At 52.8% G+C, this 18785-nt stretch overlaps 2 long non-coding RNA genes across 2 annotated transcripts in view, besides 6 other annotated features; both read left to right on the forward strand.

The window, feature by feature from the left end:
* The window catches only part of APCDD1L-DT (APCDD1L divergent transcript), a 104514-nt gene extending 102393 nt beyond the window's left edge, over positions 1 to 2121 (forward strand). Inside the window, exon 7 of the long non-coding RNA NR_034147.1 lies at positions 969 to 2121. This is a non-coding gene — a long non-coding RNA (APCDD1L divergent transcript). The remainder of the gene's footprint in view (positions 1 to 968) is intronic.
* Positions 824 to 1495: an enhancer, noted in NCBI's record as "H3K27ac-H3K4me1 hESC enhancer chr20:57193651-57194322 (GRCh37/hg19 assembly coordinates)". NCBI's record gives its function as "activates a minimal SCP1, AML or CMV promoter by ChIP-STARR-seq in primed H9 embryonic stem cells {active_cell/tissue: H9 hESC(primed)}" and the evidence as "EXISTENCE:reporter gene assay evidence [ECO:0000049][PMID:30033119]".
* Positions 2168 to 2839: an enhancer, noted in NCBI's record as "H3K4me1 hESC enhancer chr20:57194995-57195666 (GRCh37/hg19 assembly coordinates)". NCBI's record gives its function as "activates a minimal SCP1, AML or CMV promoter by ChIP-STARR-seq in naive H9 embryonic stem cells {active_cell/tissue: H9 hESC(naive)}" and the evidence as "EXISTENCE:reporter gene assay evidence [ECO:0000049][PMID:30033119]".
* Positions 2840 to 3509: an enhancer, noted in NCBI's record as "H3K4me1 hESC enhancer chr20:57195667-57196336 (GRCh37/hg19 assembly coordinates)". NCBI's record gives its function as "activates a minimal SCP1, AML or CMV promoter by ChIP-STARR-seq in naive H9 embryonic stem cells {active_cell/tissue: H9 hESC(naive)}" and the evidence as "EXISTENCE:reporter gene assay evidence [ECO:0000049][PMID:30033119]".
* Positions 6142 to 6436: an enhancer, noted in NCBI's record as "tiled region #4326; HepG2 Activating DNase unmatched - State 4:PromP, and K562 Activating DNase matched - State 5:Enh". NCBI's record gives its function as "activates a minimal TATA promoter and a strong SV40 promoter by Sharpr-MPRA in HepG2 and K562 cells {active_cell/tissue: HepG2 | K562}" and the evidence as "EXISTENCE:reporter gene assay evidence [ECO:0000049][PMID:27701403]".
* LINC01711 (long intergenic non-protein coding RNA 1711) lies at positions 17001 to 17967 on the forward strand. The gene has a single exon (NR_125359.1). It is a non-coding gene; the product is annotated as a long intergenic non-protein coding RNA 1711 (long non-coding RNA).
* Positions 17005 to 17134: an enhancer, noted in NCBI's record as "active region_18175". NCBI's record gives its function as "activates an Ori minimal core promoter by ATAC-STARR-seq in GM12878 lymphoblastoid cells {active_cell/tissue: GM12878}" and the evidence as "EXISTENCE:reporter gene assay evidence [ECO:0000049][PMID:35858748]".
* Positions 17155 to 17224: an enhancer, noted in NCBI's record as "active region_18176". NCBI's record gives its function as "activates an Ori minimal core promoter by ATAC-STARR-seq in GM12878 lymphoblastoid cells {active_cell/tissue: GM12878}" and the evidence as "EXISTENCE:reporter gene assay evidence [ECO:0000049][PMID:35858748]".
* Positions 17968 to 18785: the final 818 nt, after the last annotated feature.

Raw genomic sequence — 18785 nt, forward strand, 5'->3', positions numbered from 1 at the left:
AAAGAATTGCGTAGAAAGACAGGGAGGCATAAGAAGCTCAGCATGTTTTCCTTCCTTCACTTCGTAAGTGTGTATTGATCACTGATTGTATGCTAGGCATCATGTCCATCAGCGGGAGGCCCAGAGGTGGGATTGTGTGTACTCTCTGCCTTCCCTCTAGGTAGGTGGGACCTGGTGAAGGTAATCTTATTTTCGAGTTGGATAGGGTCCCTCCAGCTGTGCAAGCAGCCCCTAAATTGCAGGACAGCTTGTGTCTGTGACGATTCCATACAAACCACAGAGATGAGAACAGGTGATGTCTGCCACTGACAGGACTCTCAGAAGCAGTCAGCAGCACCTTTGTGGACCGTGCAGTGGGCTTCTAACTGCTCCTGCATCTCTTTTGTATGGAATTTCCCCTTTGGGGCTCAGTCAGTTCTGTCCAAACAGCACCAGGCTCTATCGTGTGTTAAGATCTTGGTATTTTCCATCTTGGTAATAGAAGCTTCTCCACTGTTGAGAGAACAGTTCCATGTAGATGACTGCTCACCTCCCTACCCCAACCCTCACGATTAGATTTTTGTTCAATGGGGCTTCTAGATTCCTTACAACAAACACTCTTGTATGTGGCAATTATTTTGTTCAAGGTCTTAAGCTCTCCTTTGGAGGACAATTCCTGCCCCTGAGAGACTCAGGGGTTTGGCCAAAGCATATGGTCTCATCCATGGTCACCATTTGGGTTTCTGCCAAGTGCCCAGCTTTACATAAAGTGTCACTGTAATAGCTGCACGAGTATCTCCCCTCCTCCCTTGCCCCCTACCCCGTCATCTGCTTTCTGTCTTTCAGGCTTCAGCTAATGGCAGATATGTTTTCTGGATACTTACATACTTGTTTCTGTTCGGACTCTTGAGAAAAAAAGTCAGTTTGTTGATTTTGTGTTGGGGATGTGAGGAGGTTTTTTTTTTTTTTTTTTTTCTTTCTTAATCTAGATGTCTTGAACAAGTCAGCAAAGAAAAACAGTTCCGCCTTTGGAATGTATGAAAATGAAGACCGTTGCAGGAGGTCTTGAGCCACAGAGCTGGCTCCAGAGGCATTGGGAGGAGAAACGCGGCAGGCCTGGCTCACTCATTATATTTCAAGATCTATCCCAGCTTGTCACAACATGGACTGTGTAACTGAGACGATTCGCGGTTGGTGTTCCCATGCTGAGGCATGTGCTGCCCCGGCCCTTGGTTGCTGCGCAATTTGCTCTCTATGGACTGTACCTGGGGTGCCTACCCTGGACTTCAGACAAGCTTCTTCAAGAGTAGCCCCTGCCAGAGCTGGAGCCAACAGCAAGAGCAGCCCAGGGCCACTCTGCCCAGGCTCAGAGGCATCACTGGGAAAGAGGCAGGGGCAGAAGGAACTGGGGCGGGAAGCCCTGAAGGGTGTCGAGTCCCAGGACAAGGGACTGGGGTGTGTCCCAGCAGACCCCCAGGGAAGCAGCAGCTTTGGACTCGCCTGACCCAACCCCTTGCTGCCAGACAGGCTTAAATTGCCCCAACTTTCCCCATGAAGCTCGGACAGGAGGACGGAGGAGCAACTGCCTTCTGGGGTCAGAGTCTGTCCCCGCTCCTGCAGGCCGGAAGCACGTGCGGTCAGCGGTGGGCCAGAGCCTCTCAGCCTCTCAGCAAGGGCCTTCCTGTAGCTCTCGGCTCCTCCAACAGCCCCATCCCTTAGCACAGGCGGGGCTGGCGGAGCACTGCAGGGGCCAGGTGCAGCCACCGTGCAGCAAGGCACAGCTGCCTGATCAAACCAGATCAAAAGCCATTCGATCATCCAAGGACTATTTTCATTCGATATTTATTGATTTCTACCACTCGCTGGGGCTGTACAGGGCCCTGAGCTTGCCGTGAGGAGCACATTTCAGCCCCCACCCCCTCGGGGCTCACAGTCTGGTAGAGGAAGCACATGAAATAAAAGAATTTGCACATGTAAATATCTCATTACAAATGCGCAAGAGCCATGAAGGAAAAAAAAAGAACACGATGGGAGGTAATCACAAAGTCCACTTATTTTAGACAAAGTGGTTGGCGACAGCCACATTTTTGCCAAGACCTAAAGGATGGGCAACAGTAAAAATAAAAATCATCATCATCGTAATAGTAATTTTTTGAGTGTTTCATTGATGGCGTGGTAAGCACTTAATATACATCGACTTTGTATGGACTGGCTTATGTAATGCTGAGGAGAACTGTATGAGTAAGTATTGTCATTATCTCCATTTTGCAGATGAGGAAATTGAGGCACAGAGAGGCTCAGGGACTTGCCCGAGGTCTCGAGGCTGGTTGGGAGAGCCGAGCTAGAGCTAGTGGTGAGAGTAGCGTTAAGCATTTTCGCAAGCAGGGGCCATGCCCTGCATGATGCTTTGCAGCTGGGGAAATGAAGGCACAGAAATGCCAAGCCTCCTCCTGGGACAGAAACCAACCCTCAGGGCCCCTCAAGCCCCAGCTGGTGGGACCCTGCAAAGGAGCCTTCTGCAGTCCTGTCTGTGCCCTCCACGCTGCCCAGGATGAGGCTGGGGTGGGAGAAGCCGAGCTTCCCAGGCAGGTCCCCAGTGAGGCCCCTGGACTCCTGCCTTGGGGACGGTGGCACAGAGCCTGGTCTAGCTGGCAGAGCTGGCCACCCCAACATCCTTCAGGCTCCATATTGAAGCCAAGACATTTACAGGGGCCACTGAGGACAACTGTGCTCCCAAACCATTGCTATGGAATGACACGGCCTCTGTGCACACGTTCCTTTGGTTGGGGACAATGAAATATGTCAGCAAGCAAATGGGAATGCCTAAATCCTGGAGTCGGGGCCAGAAGCCCTAGGAACCCCACCCCACACAGAAACCCTGCCCCTGAGCTAGAGCGTCGCGTACACACACACACACACATACACACATGCACACACATATGTACACATACACACGCACACATACATACACACGCACACACGTGCACACACATTCACATGCAGGTGTCCTTCGGTGGTGGGAAGGGATGGCCTTGCAGGTACCAGCGTGTGCTTTACAGCCGCAATCAGGTAAGAGCTGTGGGCCTTGGGGAGACGCACAGGCAGCTGCTGCTTGCGTCTGGTGGGCGCAGCCTGACTTTAACTCCTGGGCTTCCCCGAATGCTCTCCCCATCAGCCCTTCCCGTCTAGTCCCTCACCACATGGTCATGGTCCACATCTCCTCCTCCAGGAACTCTTCACTGGCCTCTGTACCAACCTCCCCCCTCATTGGAGGAGGCGCCATCTGTGCATGGCGTCCACTCAGCCATGTCATTGCCGGTTTCTGTGTCATTGGTGTCTTAGCTGGACAGTAAGCAGCGTGAGGGCAGGATGCTGTCACATCACTGAACATTTGGCACTTGACAGATGCTTAATAAACATTTAGAATCAATCAGTAAATAAGTGGGTGTGTTCATTTGTCCTCACCACAGAACTCTCATCTCTCGCTAACATAGCATTTTGTAGATGCCCCTCAAAAATCAAGCCCCCCTGAAGTGCACTGAATTGTTTCTCCCCAAAAGATAGGTCCACCTGGATTGTGACCTAATTTGGAATAAGGGTCGTTGCAGATGTCACTAAGGTAAGGATCTGGAGATGATATCATCCTACATTGGGGACGGCCCTAAATCCAATGGCAGGTGTCCTTTTGAGAAGCTAAAAAGGAGGAGACATGAGGAGAAGGCCGTGTGAAGACTGAGGCAGAGACTGGGGGTGATGTGTCTACGAGCCAAGGAATGCCAGGATCCCCGCAGCCAACAGACACTGGGAGAGAGCTGGGAGGGACAGGTCCTTCCACACCGCCTTCAGAGGGAGTACGGTCTGGACGGCATCTTCATTTTGGACTTCAGTAAATTTCTGTGGTTTGAAACTACGCAATTTGTAGCAATTTGGTGTGGTAATCCCAGAAAATTAACACACCCTCCTTATGGAGTCTAGTACCCCCACCCCAAGGAGCTCCATCCACCAACACAAACCTTAACGCTTCATACCCACATCTTGAAATCTGTCCAGATGAAATCTAGTCTCTAAATGGGGACGTAGCCTGTCCCCATCTCCCCATTGCTCTCCACTCACAAGTTCAGCCCATCTTCCCCCAGTCCACCAGTCACCATCTCTCTGTCTTTTAGAGAGCAGGCCTCCCAGGCCCTGCTACTAAAGAAGATGGACTCTGTTGTTCCAACAGCCCTGCATCCCCTTCTTCCGGTGGCAGTGCGCTGGTTTTTCTTTAGGGACCACCCTTCCCCAGCTTTCAACCCATGATGTCTGCGTGAAGCTCATGACCCAGAGCTGATTAGAGCATTCTATCCTCTGGCCACTAGGGCTGACTTAGAGATGGGCACATGAGCCGGTGAGTTAAGAAGATGCGATCATGGCTTTGGGAAGGACTGTAGGGAAACAAGCTTTTTCTGTGGGAAGGCCGACTGGGGTGGCTGCAAGTCGGGACCCATCATGATCCCCCATACAGGGGGAGCCTGCCTAGGAATGAAGCCAATGTGGAGGAAACCAGAGCTCAGAGTAGAGAAAGACCTAGATTCCTGGTGGCAGCTCTGATGTTCCTGGGTCTCGCCATGCCTGAAATCCACCCTATCACCACAGATATGCACTTTCATGAGCCAGTAAAGTCCCAGTTTTTCCTGGGGCCACACTGAAGTGGATTTCTGCTCTTGACAACCAAAAGAGCATTGTCAGTACAAGAAGACACCCTTCTCCTCCACCCGGAGGTTAACAAAAAACCTCTGAGTGGTTCTTCCTGCTCAGTGCTGGTCACCTCTGGCTGAAGGCCACTCCCCAGCTCTCAGATCCCTGCTGACCACCCTCCCTGAACTGTTGGCAGCAGTAACGAGAAAGCTGAACGGTTGTTTATCATTGTCAACCCTTCCTCCACATTACCCCTATGGTTTTCTTCCCCCAAACCCAAGCCTTCTGTGCCTCCCACGCCCACCCCACTTGGTGCCAGCTCGGTGGCTCACTTGTTGTCTGGAGTGTAACTCATCTGTGTACCTGTGGTCTCTACTCCCAGCCTCTGGGTCTACAAAGAGGAGGATTGTGCAGCTCAGACTGAGCAGCTCAGACTGTGCATCCAGCAGACGGTTGTCGGAAGCACAGCTCAGTGACTGATCCTGACCACAGGGGCCAGAGCCAACGCTGTGTGCTGTGGTGTGTCCAGCTGCGATCAGCACTTCACATGGAGGCTCATCCTAGGAAGGGGCATTCACAGTCTCCACGTCTCACAGATGAGGAGTCAAGGCAGACAGAGCTGCACAGCCGCACGTCCGTGGTCACATCGCTGGTTGGCAGGGCTGGGGTAGGATGACCTTGGTCCCAAAACCCATGTGCTTAACCAGGAAGGAAAGGAGGAAGGCATGGGGAGAGGGAGAGAAGAAAAGAAGGAAGGAAGGAATGATGATGGAAGGAAGGAAAGAGGGAGGGGGCTGTGTAGGCATATGAGAATGTGTGTATAGTAAGTGTGGATGTAGATGTGGGTGTGTATGCACATGTGTGTGAATGTGGATGTGAACATGAGTGTGTATGAGGGTGCATGGAGGTGGGTGTGAACCCTGTGCATATGAGTGTGTGCATTCAAGGGTGTGTTTGTGAATGTGGATGTGAATGTGTGTATGAGTGTGTGTGATGTGTGTATATGGGTGGGTGTAAGTGTGTGTGAACTGTGTGTAATGCGTGTGCATTGGAGGGGGTGTGTGCACATGTGTATGAGTGTGTGAGATAGTGTGTGATGTGTGTATACTGTGTGCACGTGTGTGTGTATTGGAGGGTGTGTGTGCATGTGTGTATGTACCAGTGCGTGGGATAGTGTGTGAAGTGTGTGTGAACTGTGTGCATGAGTGTGTGCATTGGAGGGTGTGTGTGTGCACCTGTGTACAAGTGAGTGTGATAGTGTGTGTGAAGTGTGTGTGAACCATGCGCATGAGTATGTACATTGGAGGGTGTGTGTGCACATGTGTGTACGAGTGTGTGTGATAGCGTGTGATGTGTGTGTATACTGTGTGCACATGCATGTGTGCACTGGAAAGTGTGTGTGTGCACCTGTGTACGAGTGTGTGTGATAGCGTGTGATTGTGTGAACTGTGTGCACACACGTGTGTGCATTTGGGGGGTGTGTGCCCTCCCGTGCCCTCTGCCTGAGCGCCCCATCCTCCATGTACTCTGTCCTGCTGGGGTCTCATTAGTGTGCGGAGGGCGTCAGAGCTGGCCAGAGCCGCAGAGCCGCTGACTCACGCAGTGTCTGGAGTGAGTCACTGGCTGAGCCGGAGGCTGCGGGGGCCGCACTCAGCCGGAATCCCTGCTGGCCTCCTGTTCTCATCCGCCCGCTCTGAGTCACCCACACCTATGCTTCGGGCCGTTGTGGAATTAAACTCTCCTCTCCTTGAGGACGATGGGAAAGGGATTGAAGAGCCAGTGGACGCTGTGCCCAGCTGGAACCCGGGGGTCCGAGGGCAGACAGATGTGCTCCCAGCACTGCTCTTCTCAGAAGCTCCGTGGGCTGTGGGCCAGGCTCGAACCATTTCCAGTCCATGTCTCTGGGGTGTCCCCCAGATGCGGGCAGTGGGGCCTCTCTGGCCTTGCTTGAGGCCTGAGACTCTGGGAGGCTCTTCATGGGAAAAGTTGCCCCCATCCCCACCAGGGGCAGCCACCCTCCACAATGGGTTGCTCTTCTGGGCATGGTCCAGAAGCTTCTAGAGAGAAAATGGCAGCACCAACCCCCGACCTCATGAAGCTGACGGTCCAGGGGGAGGGCAGACAGCAAACAGAAACAGACAAATAAGAAGAAGCAGAGCCGACATCAAGGGGCCGTGCTTCATGTGTTTTCAGAGCTACTAGGACTGCCTGGAATGACCATCCACGCTTATTTGTGTACTGAATCAAACCCCATATGGTCAGAGCCATGCTGATCTTGCTGCGTCTCTGTGTTGAGTACAGGGCTTGCATACAGTAAGCACTCAGCAGATGCATGCTGAGTGAAGGCTCGTGTGAACAGCAAGGCAGAAAAGTAGGTGCAATGGTGCAAGAAAGAGCAACTGGGAGAGCTGCTGAAAGAGGGCATCTGAGCAGAGGGAGCAGCCCGAGCCGAGGCCCTGGGGCAGGAACGTGCTTCCATATTCTAGGGAGGTCGGCAGGGCTGGAGAGCAGGGGGAGGCGGTGAGAGGTGCGCTTGCAGAGATGAACCTGTAGGCTGTGATCGGGAGGGTGGATCTTGATTCTCTCCTCCTGATGGGTTGTTCTTCTAGATGCGGCCCAGAAGCTTCTAGAGGAAGATGTCATGGAGCACCAGCCCCAGACTCTTGTCCATCCTCAGAAAGCAGGAAGGTGTGATTCCACGTGCATGCCTGTTATCTGTCAGCTGGTGTTAACGTGCCCACCAGCAGGATGGAGGCCGGCTCGGAAAAGAAGAGCAAGTTTGGAAACATCCTTGAGGGCCAGGGAGCTGGGAAGAGCATGGTAAACGTGAGTCCTCTGCTCTTGGCTGAGCCCAGACCAGACTTACATCTCCATCATTAGGGGCCTCCTTTGGAGACGAGAGAGCAGGCAGAAAGCCTGCCCTGTTGAAAATGGACCTATGTTTTCTAGAAGAAATAGTAGCAGCATAATGACTCTTTAGTGTAGGTAAAAATGTGTTGCCAACACTTAGCAAGAGACTAGGCACCCAGTGACACGGGAGAGGTAGGTTTGGATGAGACACAGCTCAGAATTGTCCAGATCACAGATTGTTTGGGAAGTGGCCTAGTGGCTGTGAGCCTTAAGGGTGACAGCGGAGAGGGCCCCTAAGTTGCACGTCTCAGTGTGACCCAAGGCAGGCCCACCTTCCTGGGTGGCGTGACCTGCCCTGCCCTCCCCCTCTGCAGCCCGGCCTCACTGGCTTCCCCTCAGCCGGTGTCCCTGCATTTTTCTATCACTGCTGGGACACGGTTTCCCCACCCTTCCCACATGCTTTACAGATGTTGGCACCAGCCTGTATCCCTGGCCACCTGGCAGTCATTGGACCTATTAAACTGGAGTTCACATGCAACACAGTGGTGCTTGGCTGGGGTCCCTCCCTCCCTCTGCCTGCTCCACCGGACTGTGAGCTCTGAGTGCAGATGTACTTCCTGTCTCTGGAAACCCAGCACCTGGAACAGTATCTGGTGCAATGTACGAGGTCAATAAATAGCTGCCAAGATGGGGATAGGTGATCCCATTTTATGGATGAGGAAAGTGAGGCCATGTGGGCAGAGCCCTGTGTTCCTTCTCTCCCACTCAAGTGAGATGCCCAGGGTACTAATTTAAGGGGGCGCTCACCTTCAGAGTCCAACCCTGTGCCAGCACCCCTTGTGAGTGAGTGCCACCTTAAATATGATACCTTGCTTGCCTCGCCCTTGTCCCACCCCAGAGAGGAAGGAAGTGAAGGGCAGAGGGACAGTGGCCAGGCAGCCGCTAGCCCAGGGGGCTCTCCACCCAACTCCGGAAGTACCCAGGCTGCCCTAAAAGTCCTGAGATGAGCTCACTCTGTTCATCACATCCAGATGCCACTGTGCAGGGAGCAATCAAGTCAGCCATTTCCCCCAATAAGCTTGACTTCAGGGGACTGGAGGAGCTATTTGTAGCACTTTTAAAACCTTTTATAGATCAGTGTGTTACCACTGATGACAGTGGAAGAAATGCTGCTATTAGAGGCAGGAGCTTTAAGAGGTTTGGGTATTGGCTATTTCTGATTGGGAATGCCATGCTGGGAATCAATGCTCCATGCGTCCTTGCAGTGCTGCGTGAGGAGGCCACACGTTGGCTTGAGCCTCCCTGCCATGCACGCTCCCCTTGGCTTGGTACCCCCCTTGACTGAGAACTTGGGGTGATTTTCTCCTCTGTAGCCAAGCCAGAGCCCCCCAGGCTCCCAGCTCAAGGCTGACCGAAGCTTGGTGTTAGGTCCGGGTTTCTTGGGGGTGCATGAGCTGCTGGCGCGTCCGCAGTCGGAGGCTGCTTTGTCTCTCTCGCTGTGTCTTTTCCTCTTGACTCTCTTGTTCTCACTCCCTCCTGCTGTGTCTTTGCCCTTGTGTCTGCTCTCCCTCATCTTCTTTCTCTTTCTTTTGTTCTTTCTTCTCCTCCTTGCCTCTCTTTTTCTTCCTTTCCTTCCTCTTCACAGAGTCCAAGAAATTCTAAGGAAATGAGAAGTGTGGGCTCATAGGTTTCTCACCTTGACCATCCTGGCTCATGCTGAGAACTGGGCTCCTTCAAAAGGCCTGTTGCATCTGTGGAAGTGGCTCTTCTGGAAGAGTCTGTGGCACCCATGGACAACAGCAGAGTGCGGCCCTCTGAGACCATGAGACTCATGTGATTCCTAATTCCACTAAACACTATGGGTTGGGTGCCAGCTACCTGCCAGGGGGTCCTTTTCTTGGAAGGAAGCCAGACACAGCTCCAGGAGACTGTAGTGCAAGATGGAGGAGGGCAAAGCCAGTGGAGGAGCTGAAGAATGACACCCAGTTCCAGTTGAGTGAACCAAGATGGCTCCAGGTGGGGTTGGCCTTGGAGTGGGCCAGGACAATTGAGTGGGGGAGGTGCTCATGGGTATGGCAGTGGTGACGGGGCAGAGAAAGTCATTTGAGGAGGAGGTGAAAAAGGGAAGTGGATAAGAAGATTTAGTCTTGGGTTCAGATCTTGGTTTCACAGCTTTCTGGCCATGTGGCCTTGCTCAAGCCGCTTCCACTTCTGGACCCTGTTTTCTGGCAAGTGAAAGGGGACCTACCTTGCAAAGGAATGGCATAAGATGACGTTTGTTGTGTGTTTGTCCCCTGCCTGGCGTATCCTCAGAATGTGGTTTGTGATATCTTTATGAACTTGCCAACAGAGGCAACCTGTGCATGCGACATCGCTGGGCGTGCAGAAAAGCCTAGAAAGCTAATCCTAGAAGCTTTTGCTAATGAGCACTTACTGTGTGCTAATGAGCACTTATATGACTTATATGTGCCAGGCAGCATTCTACAAGCCGTGGGTGTCCTGCCACTCAGTGCTCATGACAAGGACTCAATGGGAAGGATTCACCACCATGATGCCCACATGGCTGAAGAAGTGGATCCCCTGAAGGGAAAGCGGCCACCCAGCAGCCCCTGGAGCCGGCGTCCTACTGGGCATGTCAGCTCTGGAACCATGCTCCTCTCACTGTGGTTTTTGCTTCCCTATTGAAGGGCTTTGGGGGCCAGATGAGGGGTTTGGGCTCTATCCTGGCAGGAGGGGAGAAGGGGTGGGCAGCCTCTGAAAGTGTCTGTGGAGACCAGGTCCAGTCTCATTACTGGTGGCCAGTGGGGCAAAGGGCCTTGGGGGCTGTGGAGCAGCCACTATTGCTCCTGTTTCTAGGAACTTCTCTCTCTCTCCCCAACCTCATCACTGAGGAGCATCCTGTCTAGGGTTTCTGGAAGGCTCTCTTCTTACTTCCTTCCAGCCTCATGTCCTGATGGCGTTGTGTGCCAGGGGACTCACGGAATATTGTTTTCCTCTAACGACTCAGACAACTGATGAAATACTTGGTGCCTTGTTCTCCCTAAGACCTGTCCTCCCAAGGGCCTGCTTTCACATGGCTGCCAGGGCCTTCAATGCCGAGTCCGTGTTCCTCGGGGACCATCAACATGTGGAACTTATTTTTAATTTAAAAGAACAACAGACTCCCCAACCCCATTCCCCTCCCCCGCTTGCCTCCCACTGCTGCTCCTGGCTATGCGGTAAACACCAGGCTCTTGCTACCTCTCAGCTTTGCCATCGTGTCCAGCCTGGAAATTCTTGCTGGGCCATTTTCAGGGGCCAAGCCAAGGTCCTGGCCAGACCAAGGAAGCCCATAGGCACTTCAGCCTTCCCCATCTCTGCCCCCTGCATCCCTCTGACTTCTAGGCAAGCTGACCCATGCCACTCCCTTCTCTAGCAGCTGTCCTCTGCCTGTCCTTGGGAGGGCTGTGGGAAAGAACACCATGGCCCAAATCTTTAGATGGTTTGGACAAAAATTAGAGGGGATTCAGTCGAAGAGTACCTGCTGTCCCAGCAAGGCTGAAGCCTCCCAGAGTGTGAGGGTCTCATCCTGCAGACACCACCCCACTCATGGCTGCTCCTGTCCAGACCCTGGGATGCACTGTTTGACTTTGTCCTCATCTCAAGCCCACTTTACTTGTGGAGAAACTGAGACAAAGAGGCTGAGTAACTCGTCCGAAGTCCAGTGGTATAGGCCGGACTTGACCCGAATTCTGACCCCAAAGCCTGGCCCTTGACTGCCCCCTAGCACTGCACTGGCCAGGATTCCATGGTGGCCACTTTCTAATACTGCATCACAGCGCGGGGAGGGGCTCCAGGATCACTTACTTGCTCTTAACCCTGGCGACAAGGATGTGCTTTTGCAGATGTTGGTTTGTTCATGAGAAATTCGAGTCAGATTTGAGGGGGAAAGAGGAAAAGAGAGACACAGTGTGTGTAGAGCCATTATGTCTAATTCAGCCACCAACACACTTCTCTGTGGGCCTCTTCTGGCTCCAGAAGCCCCCTTCCCAGCTGTGATGTCACCAGCCAGCCTCTGCAGATGACAGCCCTGTGATTTATCATCAGCCACCTGCTTTCTCACTGCTGGGGACAGCCAGAGCCCAGAGCAGCCCCCACTGGGCTGGGCAGCAGCTGCCCCCTGCCCCATTGCCGCACTTCCAGGCCTATGAGCTTTTTGAGATTGTTTGCATTTTGGGAAATGCCAGTCATCTCTCCCAAATCTGCAGATAGCAGCATCTCACCATCCAGGGTTGGAGTTTCTAAACAGTCAGATAACCTTGCTCACAGAGAAACAGCCTGAACACCATTTACAGATAGCGACAGGATTTAATGAGATAAAGCCTTGGGCATCCATGAACCAATTTTTACGAGCCGTGATGAAATGGCTGTTTTCTTAATAGATACCCAAACAGAACACAATTCAGGGCTCTGAGAGCTTCAAAGGAACTTCTCAGCTCTAGCCTCTTGAAATTTCGGGCAAAATCCAAACACGTATCAGTCTTACCACCACCATGAAAATGATATGTTTTTGTAAAATTATGTGGGACCTATCTATCTGCCAAGGGAGAGATGGCCCAGATGCTTTTGGGACTCCAAGCCAGTGTCTTCAGCCTTTTCTCACATGATGTGAACACCAAATTCCAGTGCCACTTTCTAGAGGGGAGATTGCAGATGGAAGGCTTGTCCTGGAGAGGTTGAAACAGTGGGAAAGGAAATAAAGAGCATGCTCTCGCTCTTCCTCCAATTCCCTGAACTAGCTGGTTTCCTGAAGACTCCAGTGTGGGTAGACTGTGGCAAGTGGGTGACTGAATACTGACCTAGTCCTTAAAAAGAAAAAACGGTCAAAGGGCACCCTTCCAACCCCCACTGTGTGACAATGACCTCCTCAGAGAGCAGCCTTATGGGCCCCCTTTGAAAGGGCACAGTGACCCCCCTGGTGTCTGTCTGTTCTGCCCTGCTTGGAGAAACGGCTTCCTCCTCTGAGTTCCTAAAACATTTATCATCCCTATGATTTGCCAGGCAATTAGTCATGCCCTGCCTTGAGTATCTCTTCTATTGTTGTATCAAACGGCTGTTTAACCCTTATCAGCAGTGCAGTTTTCAATATCTTGTCTTTCTAACTCGATGTGAGCTTCCAGAGGGCTGTGCAAATGTCCACCCATGTCCGTCTCCTGTGCCCATGGTCCGTACACGTCTGGTCATCACCGTCAGAGGGTAGGACTGTGTCCTGCCTTTACAGGTAAAGTGTTTAGCATGCAAAATGCTTAGCACAGACACTGGCACCTCACAAGGGCCCAAGAAAGAGCCACTAGTGTTTACCTTGTTATTCATATTATTATCTGGTATACAAGAATAGCTAGTGAGCACCCTCCATGTGTGGGACACTGTGCCTGGTGCTGCTGAAGCCACTTGAAAATGGTACCTGTGAATTTCCCCAAAGCCATCTGGAATCAAGCTGGAAACTCTAGCTCTGTTTCCTACTGAAGGGAGACACGTATCCCCTCAGTGAGAAGTCTTTTCTTCAAAGGCCCTTGGTCGGTGTCAAGGATCCTTCGAGTCTAGGTGAAGTTGGTTGGTTTGGTCTCCAGAGCGGTGTGTGAATACAAATACAAATACCGTATTCACAGAATAGAGGATTTGTAGGTGGAGATCCTTGTCAACCTCTCCCCCAAAGTAGTCAGAGAAATGCCAGAAGAGAAGGAGCTCTCCAAAGGGGAGTGGGCTGGGCTGGGGGAGCTCAGAGCAAACCGTACCCATCATGGCTGGAACTCACTCGTGTCCCAGCTACTCCTCTCACTGGCTAAGGAATAAGGTGAGACAGTACAGAAGGTTGAGGTCGGAGAGCTGGGTGGATTTAGGGAGATACAGAGATGGAAACTTTGCTGTGGTCACGTCAAGTCAGACGATCTGATATAACTTCATCCACATCAGCCTCCACCTTCTTTATAAAAGCTCCCTCTGGTTCCTGTGTGGAGAATGTTTAGGGGTACAGGAGGGAACCCAGAAGTCCAGTGGGGGGCCTTCACAGTGGCCCAGATGACCTGGATTGGACCAGGGAGGTGGGGGTGGGCAGGGCAAAGGAGAGCAAGAAAAGCCAGGACCTTCTGAAGCCTTCCTCCTGGCCCCCTGGACCCCAGCTCAGGGTCTCTCCACTCCCTCCACTCCCCTTGTCCCCAGTCCTCCTCACCCTGTATCAGGGCTTCCTGTTAGCATGTTTTTGGCCTCATGGATGGGGGGCTCCATGAGGGCAGAGCCTTGGTTTACTTGTCCCTGCTCACTGACCCTAACAGGAAGAAAAGGAGGCCTGGTCTTGCGTACCCTCCAGGCTGAGCTCCTCACAGTCCCTGCATCTGAGGCCTGTGACAGTCAGGCCTGGAATGAGAGGAGAAGGCTGATCTCCCAGGCTGTCAATTGTTCCATTCTAACCCAAGCATTCTGACCCATGCTGCATTCCCGCCTGGGGTTTATGACTCTCTTTGAGTCCACTCTGCAGCCCACTTCCCAGCAAAGCCTGGTTTGAGGGCAGCTGAGACCAGCCCCAGGCCCCAGGAGAAAGGAGACCTACATCTCCCCAGAAGACCCCAGCCCCGTGGACAATGGATCCTCTGTCAGCCTGCAGCAAATGTTACAAGGCCCTAAAGACACTCTCTGGCCCTAGTGAGACTTTAAGAAACAAAACAAATTTTTAAAACACACATACACAGCAAAATACAAAGCGAAAATTGATGATGGTGATGGAGACGATAGAATCCAAGGTGACCTTATCTTCACCGGGCCCCAAAAGAAAAGAAATGCAATGTGTGGCCTCTCTAAAGCTATTCCGGAAAGTGAGGGGGCGCAAGTAGACCCCACTGAGAAGGAGCTCCATGCCAAGGAGGAGCAGGGCTGGAGGCGTGAGGACCACCAGGAGGACTTGAACAGCAGCAGTCTGGCTGCCCATGCTGGCCTCTCTTCTGGGGTCCTCTGGGCCTGCGGGAAGTCCTGGGTACCCAGGGACATCTGCCCATAGCCAGCCAACGCCCTGATGACCCTGGGAGTCCCTCCAAATTCCATGTCCACTGGAACCTCAGAGTGAGCTTATTTGGAAATAAGTTCTTTGCCGATGTCATTAGTAAAGGATCTTGAGGCGCAATCATCCTGGTTTTAGGGTAGGCCCTAAATGCAATGATGGTGTCCTTCTGAGAACAGAGGAGGACAGAAGACACATAGGGAAGAGGGCCATGTGAGGACAAAGCAGCGATGGGAGTGATGCGGCCAGAAGCCAGGGAATACCAGGAACCAGCACCATCCAGAAAAGGCCAGAAGGATCCTCACCTAGAGCTTTTGGAGGGAACGTGGTCACACCTTGATTTCAGACTTCTGGTTTCTAGAACTGGGCCTGGGCCAAGTGAATACATTGATGTGTATGTTTTTCCATGTCAAGGATACATGATTTGTGGATGATTTTCTAGCCACCAGCCAGTGGGTTGGCCACACCAGTCCTTGCCTCCCGTGCTTACCTAGGGAAAGCGGAGCCCCCACTGATTGGGGTCGGGGGAGATGCAGAAGTAACTTCGCAGAGGACCGATGAGCTCATGCCGGGGACACAAGTTGCTGTGCGGCTTTCCACAGGGGAAGAGTTATGGGCAACTTCAGAGCAGCAACCAGGATTCGGTAAAATACTTTTAACGCAAAGTACTGCTCTATAGTGACCTGAGAGCCCTGGCCTTGTGGCCGGTACTTCCCGTGGAGACCACTGCAGGTGCACTCATTCTTCATTCTTTGGACAAATATTTGTGGAGGACCTAAATACGCCTAACACTAGATATTAGGCCCACCATGGTGAGCAGGCCAGGCTGGCTCACATCCTAGTAGAAGAGACACATATGAAGGAAATGAACAAGGTACCAGGACAGAGACTTACAGGAGAGAGTGTGGCTGGAAGGCTTCTCTGAGGAAGGGACTTGGGGACTTGAAGGACAGGAAGGAGCCAGCCATCAAATGAGCTACGGTAAGACCATTCCTGGCCGAGGCAGCCAGAGAACAGAGTCCTTGAGGTGGGGAAGGGCTTGGCCAGTTCTAGGCATGCGCCCAAGGCCACTTTGGCTGGAAAACGGTAAGGTCTGGAAGGCTCCGGTAAGGAGTAGGAATTTGGCACTGTCTCACCTAGGAGAGGGGAAACTGCTAACGCAATGGCACATCACCACCTCCAGGAAGTCTTTCAGGGTTGCCTTTGTGGAGGTGAGCCGCCATACCACAGAAAGCCTGGGCCTACTGTCATGGTCTCAACTGGCCGTCATCATCTGTGACTTTGCCTCTTAAGATTCTTTGTATTATGAGGGGTGGGTGTCTTCCCAAAGGCCTCTAATTCTCTCACCGCCACTGCTGTAATGACCTCCTAAAGGTCTCTAATACTCAGAATAGCAGAATAGGGTGACATGTGGGTGATTGCTCTGTGATGTCTTTTACACCATTGATCACCAGGATCCCTGTGGCACATCTGGCTAGTCAAGTGGGTGGCCCCTTACCTCCCAGAGCCATATCACAGAAAGCCCTTCCCAAGGAGGAGCAGCCCAGAGCTCTCTGTCAACCAGCATTCTGAAGCGCCACATGTGGTGATGGTTTAGCAGTGTCTGCTAGGAGCATGGGAGGGGAGGGTGGGGTTAGGTGTGCCATGCATTTGCCCTCCTTCCTAAAAGAACCTCCTTCCCCTCCCCAAAGCCCCATATACTTTCTAGGTCTTAACCCAGTGGCATATACATGATAGATGTTCAAAACATGTGCTGTTTGATCGATAGTGTATTCAGCAGTCATTTCGCAGCCTAGTGACTGCGAGCTCGACTCAGAGAGGGAGTGACAGTGACGGGGCAGAAGCACGTGGCTGCCAGATGGGCGATGGGAAATGTTCCGCACACAGAAGTCAACCATCCTGCCAATTTGGGAACACGAAGTCACTCGTTCGATGCCTGTCAAGTCCCTATGCTGTGCCTGCCACGGCCCTTGCTGCTACGGTACCACGAGCGTCCCCAGGAAGACACCTTGCTTGTCTCTAATTCCATGAACTTTTTGCAAGAAAATCTTGCTTGCCTTCCCCAGGGGTCAGGTCTTCAGAGGGGAGACTCCTGCCCTGGTGTGCCCGGCTCCTGCCCATCCAGCAGAGCAGGAAAAGGTGACTCGGGTTCCATTTGACAAACGTCTCTTCTGAAAGCTGCCCTTAGCAGGCAGGAGAAAAGCCCCCATTTACTGGGGCCTTGTCAGAGTTTCTAGAGCTTAAATTCTCTTCTTCAGAAAGGAAAAATATCTGCGGCCCCACATCCGCAGATGCATAAACGTGGGCGTGATTTATGAGTGCACGTGGTATCCAGCGCTTTCCCCCAGCTACTGTGAAATCGTTCCTCTTCTCTGACTGAGACGTCAACAGTATGGTCACTGTATATGTTTTCCCACTTTTTCCAGAGCCAAGAACCAGGAAAAAAAAATGAAAAATGAAAGTGTACAGGAAGTCAAGGTCAGGCCATACCCACCACAGTTCGGGCAGCCATAGAGGAGAGCTTTCTTAACGGTCCGCTGGGACCCAAGTGGGCCTCCCCTGGGACTGCGTGCTCCCCTACAGAACCTGATGGCTGGAAACACTCACACTACTGCCTGTCCCGGCATCTCTCCCTCCGCCGCAGGGGCTGATGCTGCCACAGGACACAGAGCAGCAGGCCCCAGAGGCTTCTCTGCACCTCTGCTGCCTTTCTGAGTAATCAGAGGAGGCCACACCCACTCCAGGACACCCACACGGGCCTTCTGGGCGATGACGCTCCTGGCCCAGGAGTGGGGGGCTGCCTCACACCTGCTGCTGTGGGGCAGAGTCTCTCCTGGGTCGGGGCCTCGCTGGCGGATCTGCTCCATGTCGTGTGATGTGCTGCAGCCCCGCGTCACCGAGAGCCTCTTATGGGCCACCAAGTCCACACAGCCACTGGCCATGGGGCACCCTGCAGGGCCTCTGGACACGGAGACCTGTGGTTCTCAGCCAGTGGTGATTTTGTGTCCAGGGAACACCTGGCCAAGTCTGGGTTCAATTTTGTTTGTCACAGTTTAAGGTTGGGGTGTCACTAGACATCCTACAGTGCACAGGACGGCCCCACAGCAGACCAGCCCGACTGTCAGCAGCACCGAGCCGGGAAAGCCTGGTCTGGAGCCGTTTCTCTCTAGGGTCCCTGCTAGGGAACCCCTCACTGCCATGGAGAACCCCTCTCCTCCTGTCTCTCAGGACTCTCCGAGGGTCAAGGATGGATGCCTCCCCATCGAGGGCCAAACAAACTGACAAATCGAGTGGGCAAACGGCTTACTCAAAGGCCAGGAGCAGCTACCCGATGACTGCTCCCTCGACCTCTCTCTTCTCACTTTCTTCCCTATTCCATCCTTTGATGGGTGGCCTGTTACACGTTTGGAAATAAAAACAAGTGGGAAAGAGTGCCATAAACATTCCTGGGAAAAAAGCAGGGCCGACTGGAGGTCCATTGTTGCTGAGAGACAAAAAAGATCAAAGGGGAAGAAAGAAAGGATGGAGGGAGGGGAAGAAGAGAGGGAGAAAAGGAAGGAAAGAAGGAGGAAAAGGAAGAAGTAAAGGAGGCAGGAAGGGAAAGAAGGAAGGAAGAGAGAGAGAGAGGGAGGGAGGGAGGGGGGAAGGAAGGAAGGGAAGGAAGGAAAGGAGGGAGGGAAGGAAGGGAAGCAGAGAGGGAGGGGAGGGAGGAAGGAAGGAGGGAGGGAGGGAAAAAGAAATGAAGGAAGGAAGGAGGGAGGGAGAGAGGGAGCACAGAGAGAGGGAGGGAAGAAGGAAGGAAGGAAGAAAAAGAGAGAGAGAAAGGGAGGGAGGGGGAAGGGAGGGAGGAGGAGAGGGAGGGAGGGAGGAAGGAAGGGAGGGAGGGAGGGAGCACAGAGAGAGGGAGGGAAGAAGGAAGGAAGGAAGGAAGGGGGGGAGGAAGGAAGGAAGGGAGGGAGGGAAGGAAGCAGGGTTCTCACTGGTAAATCTCCCTGGCTGCCCTCTGTGCGTGTGTTACAGAGAGATGTTCTGTAGAAATTTCAGGAGAAGGGCTTTGGAATCCTTTCATCGCAAGTGGTATCAAGCACAGGTGACCATCAGGATGTACGGATGAGACGGCCCAGTTGGTGGGAGCTCACCAGACTGACATTAAAAGGAAAGGCCACCCCAAACCTCCATAGCAGTAGCTGGGAAGGCCTGAATGGCTGTGTCTGGCCTGGAGGAACTGCTCCCTTCAGGAACCGTAGCC

This window comes from Homo sapiens, chromosome 20 (assembly GCF_000001405.40).
Source record: "Homo sapiens chromosome 20, GRCh38.p14 Primary Assembly".
Lineage (NCBI taxonomy): Eukaryota > Metazoa > Chordata > Mammalia > Primates > Hominidae > Homo > Homo sapiens.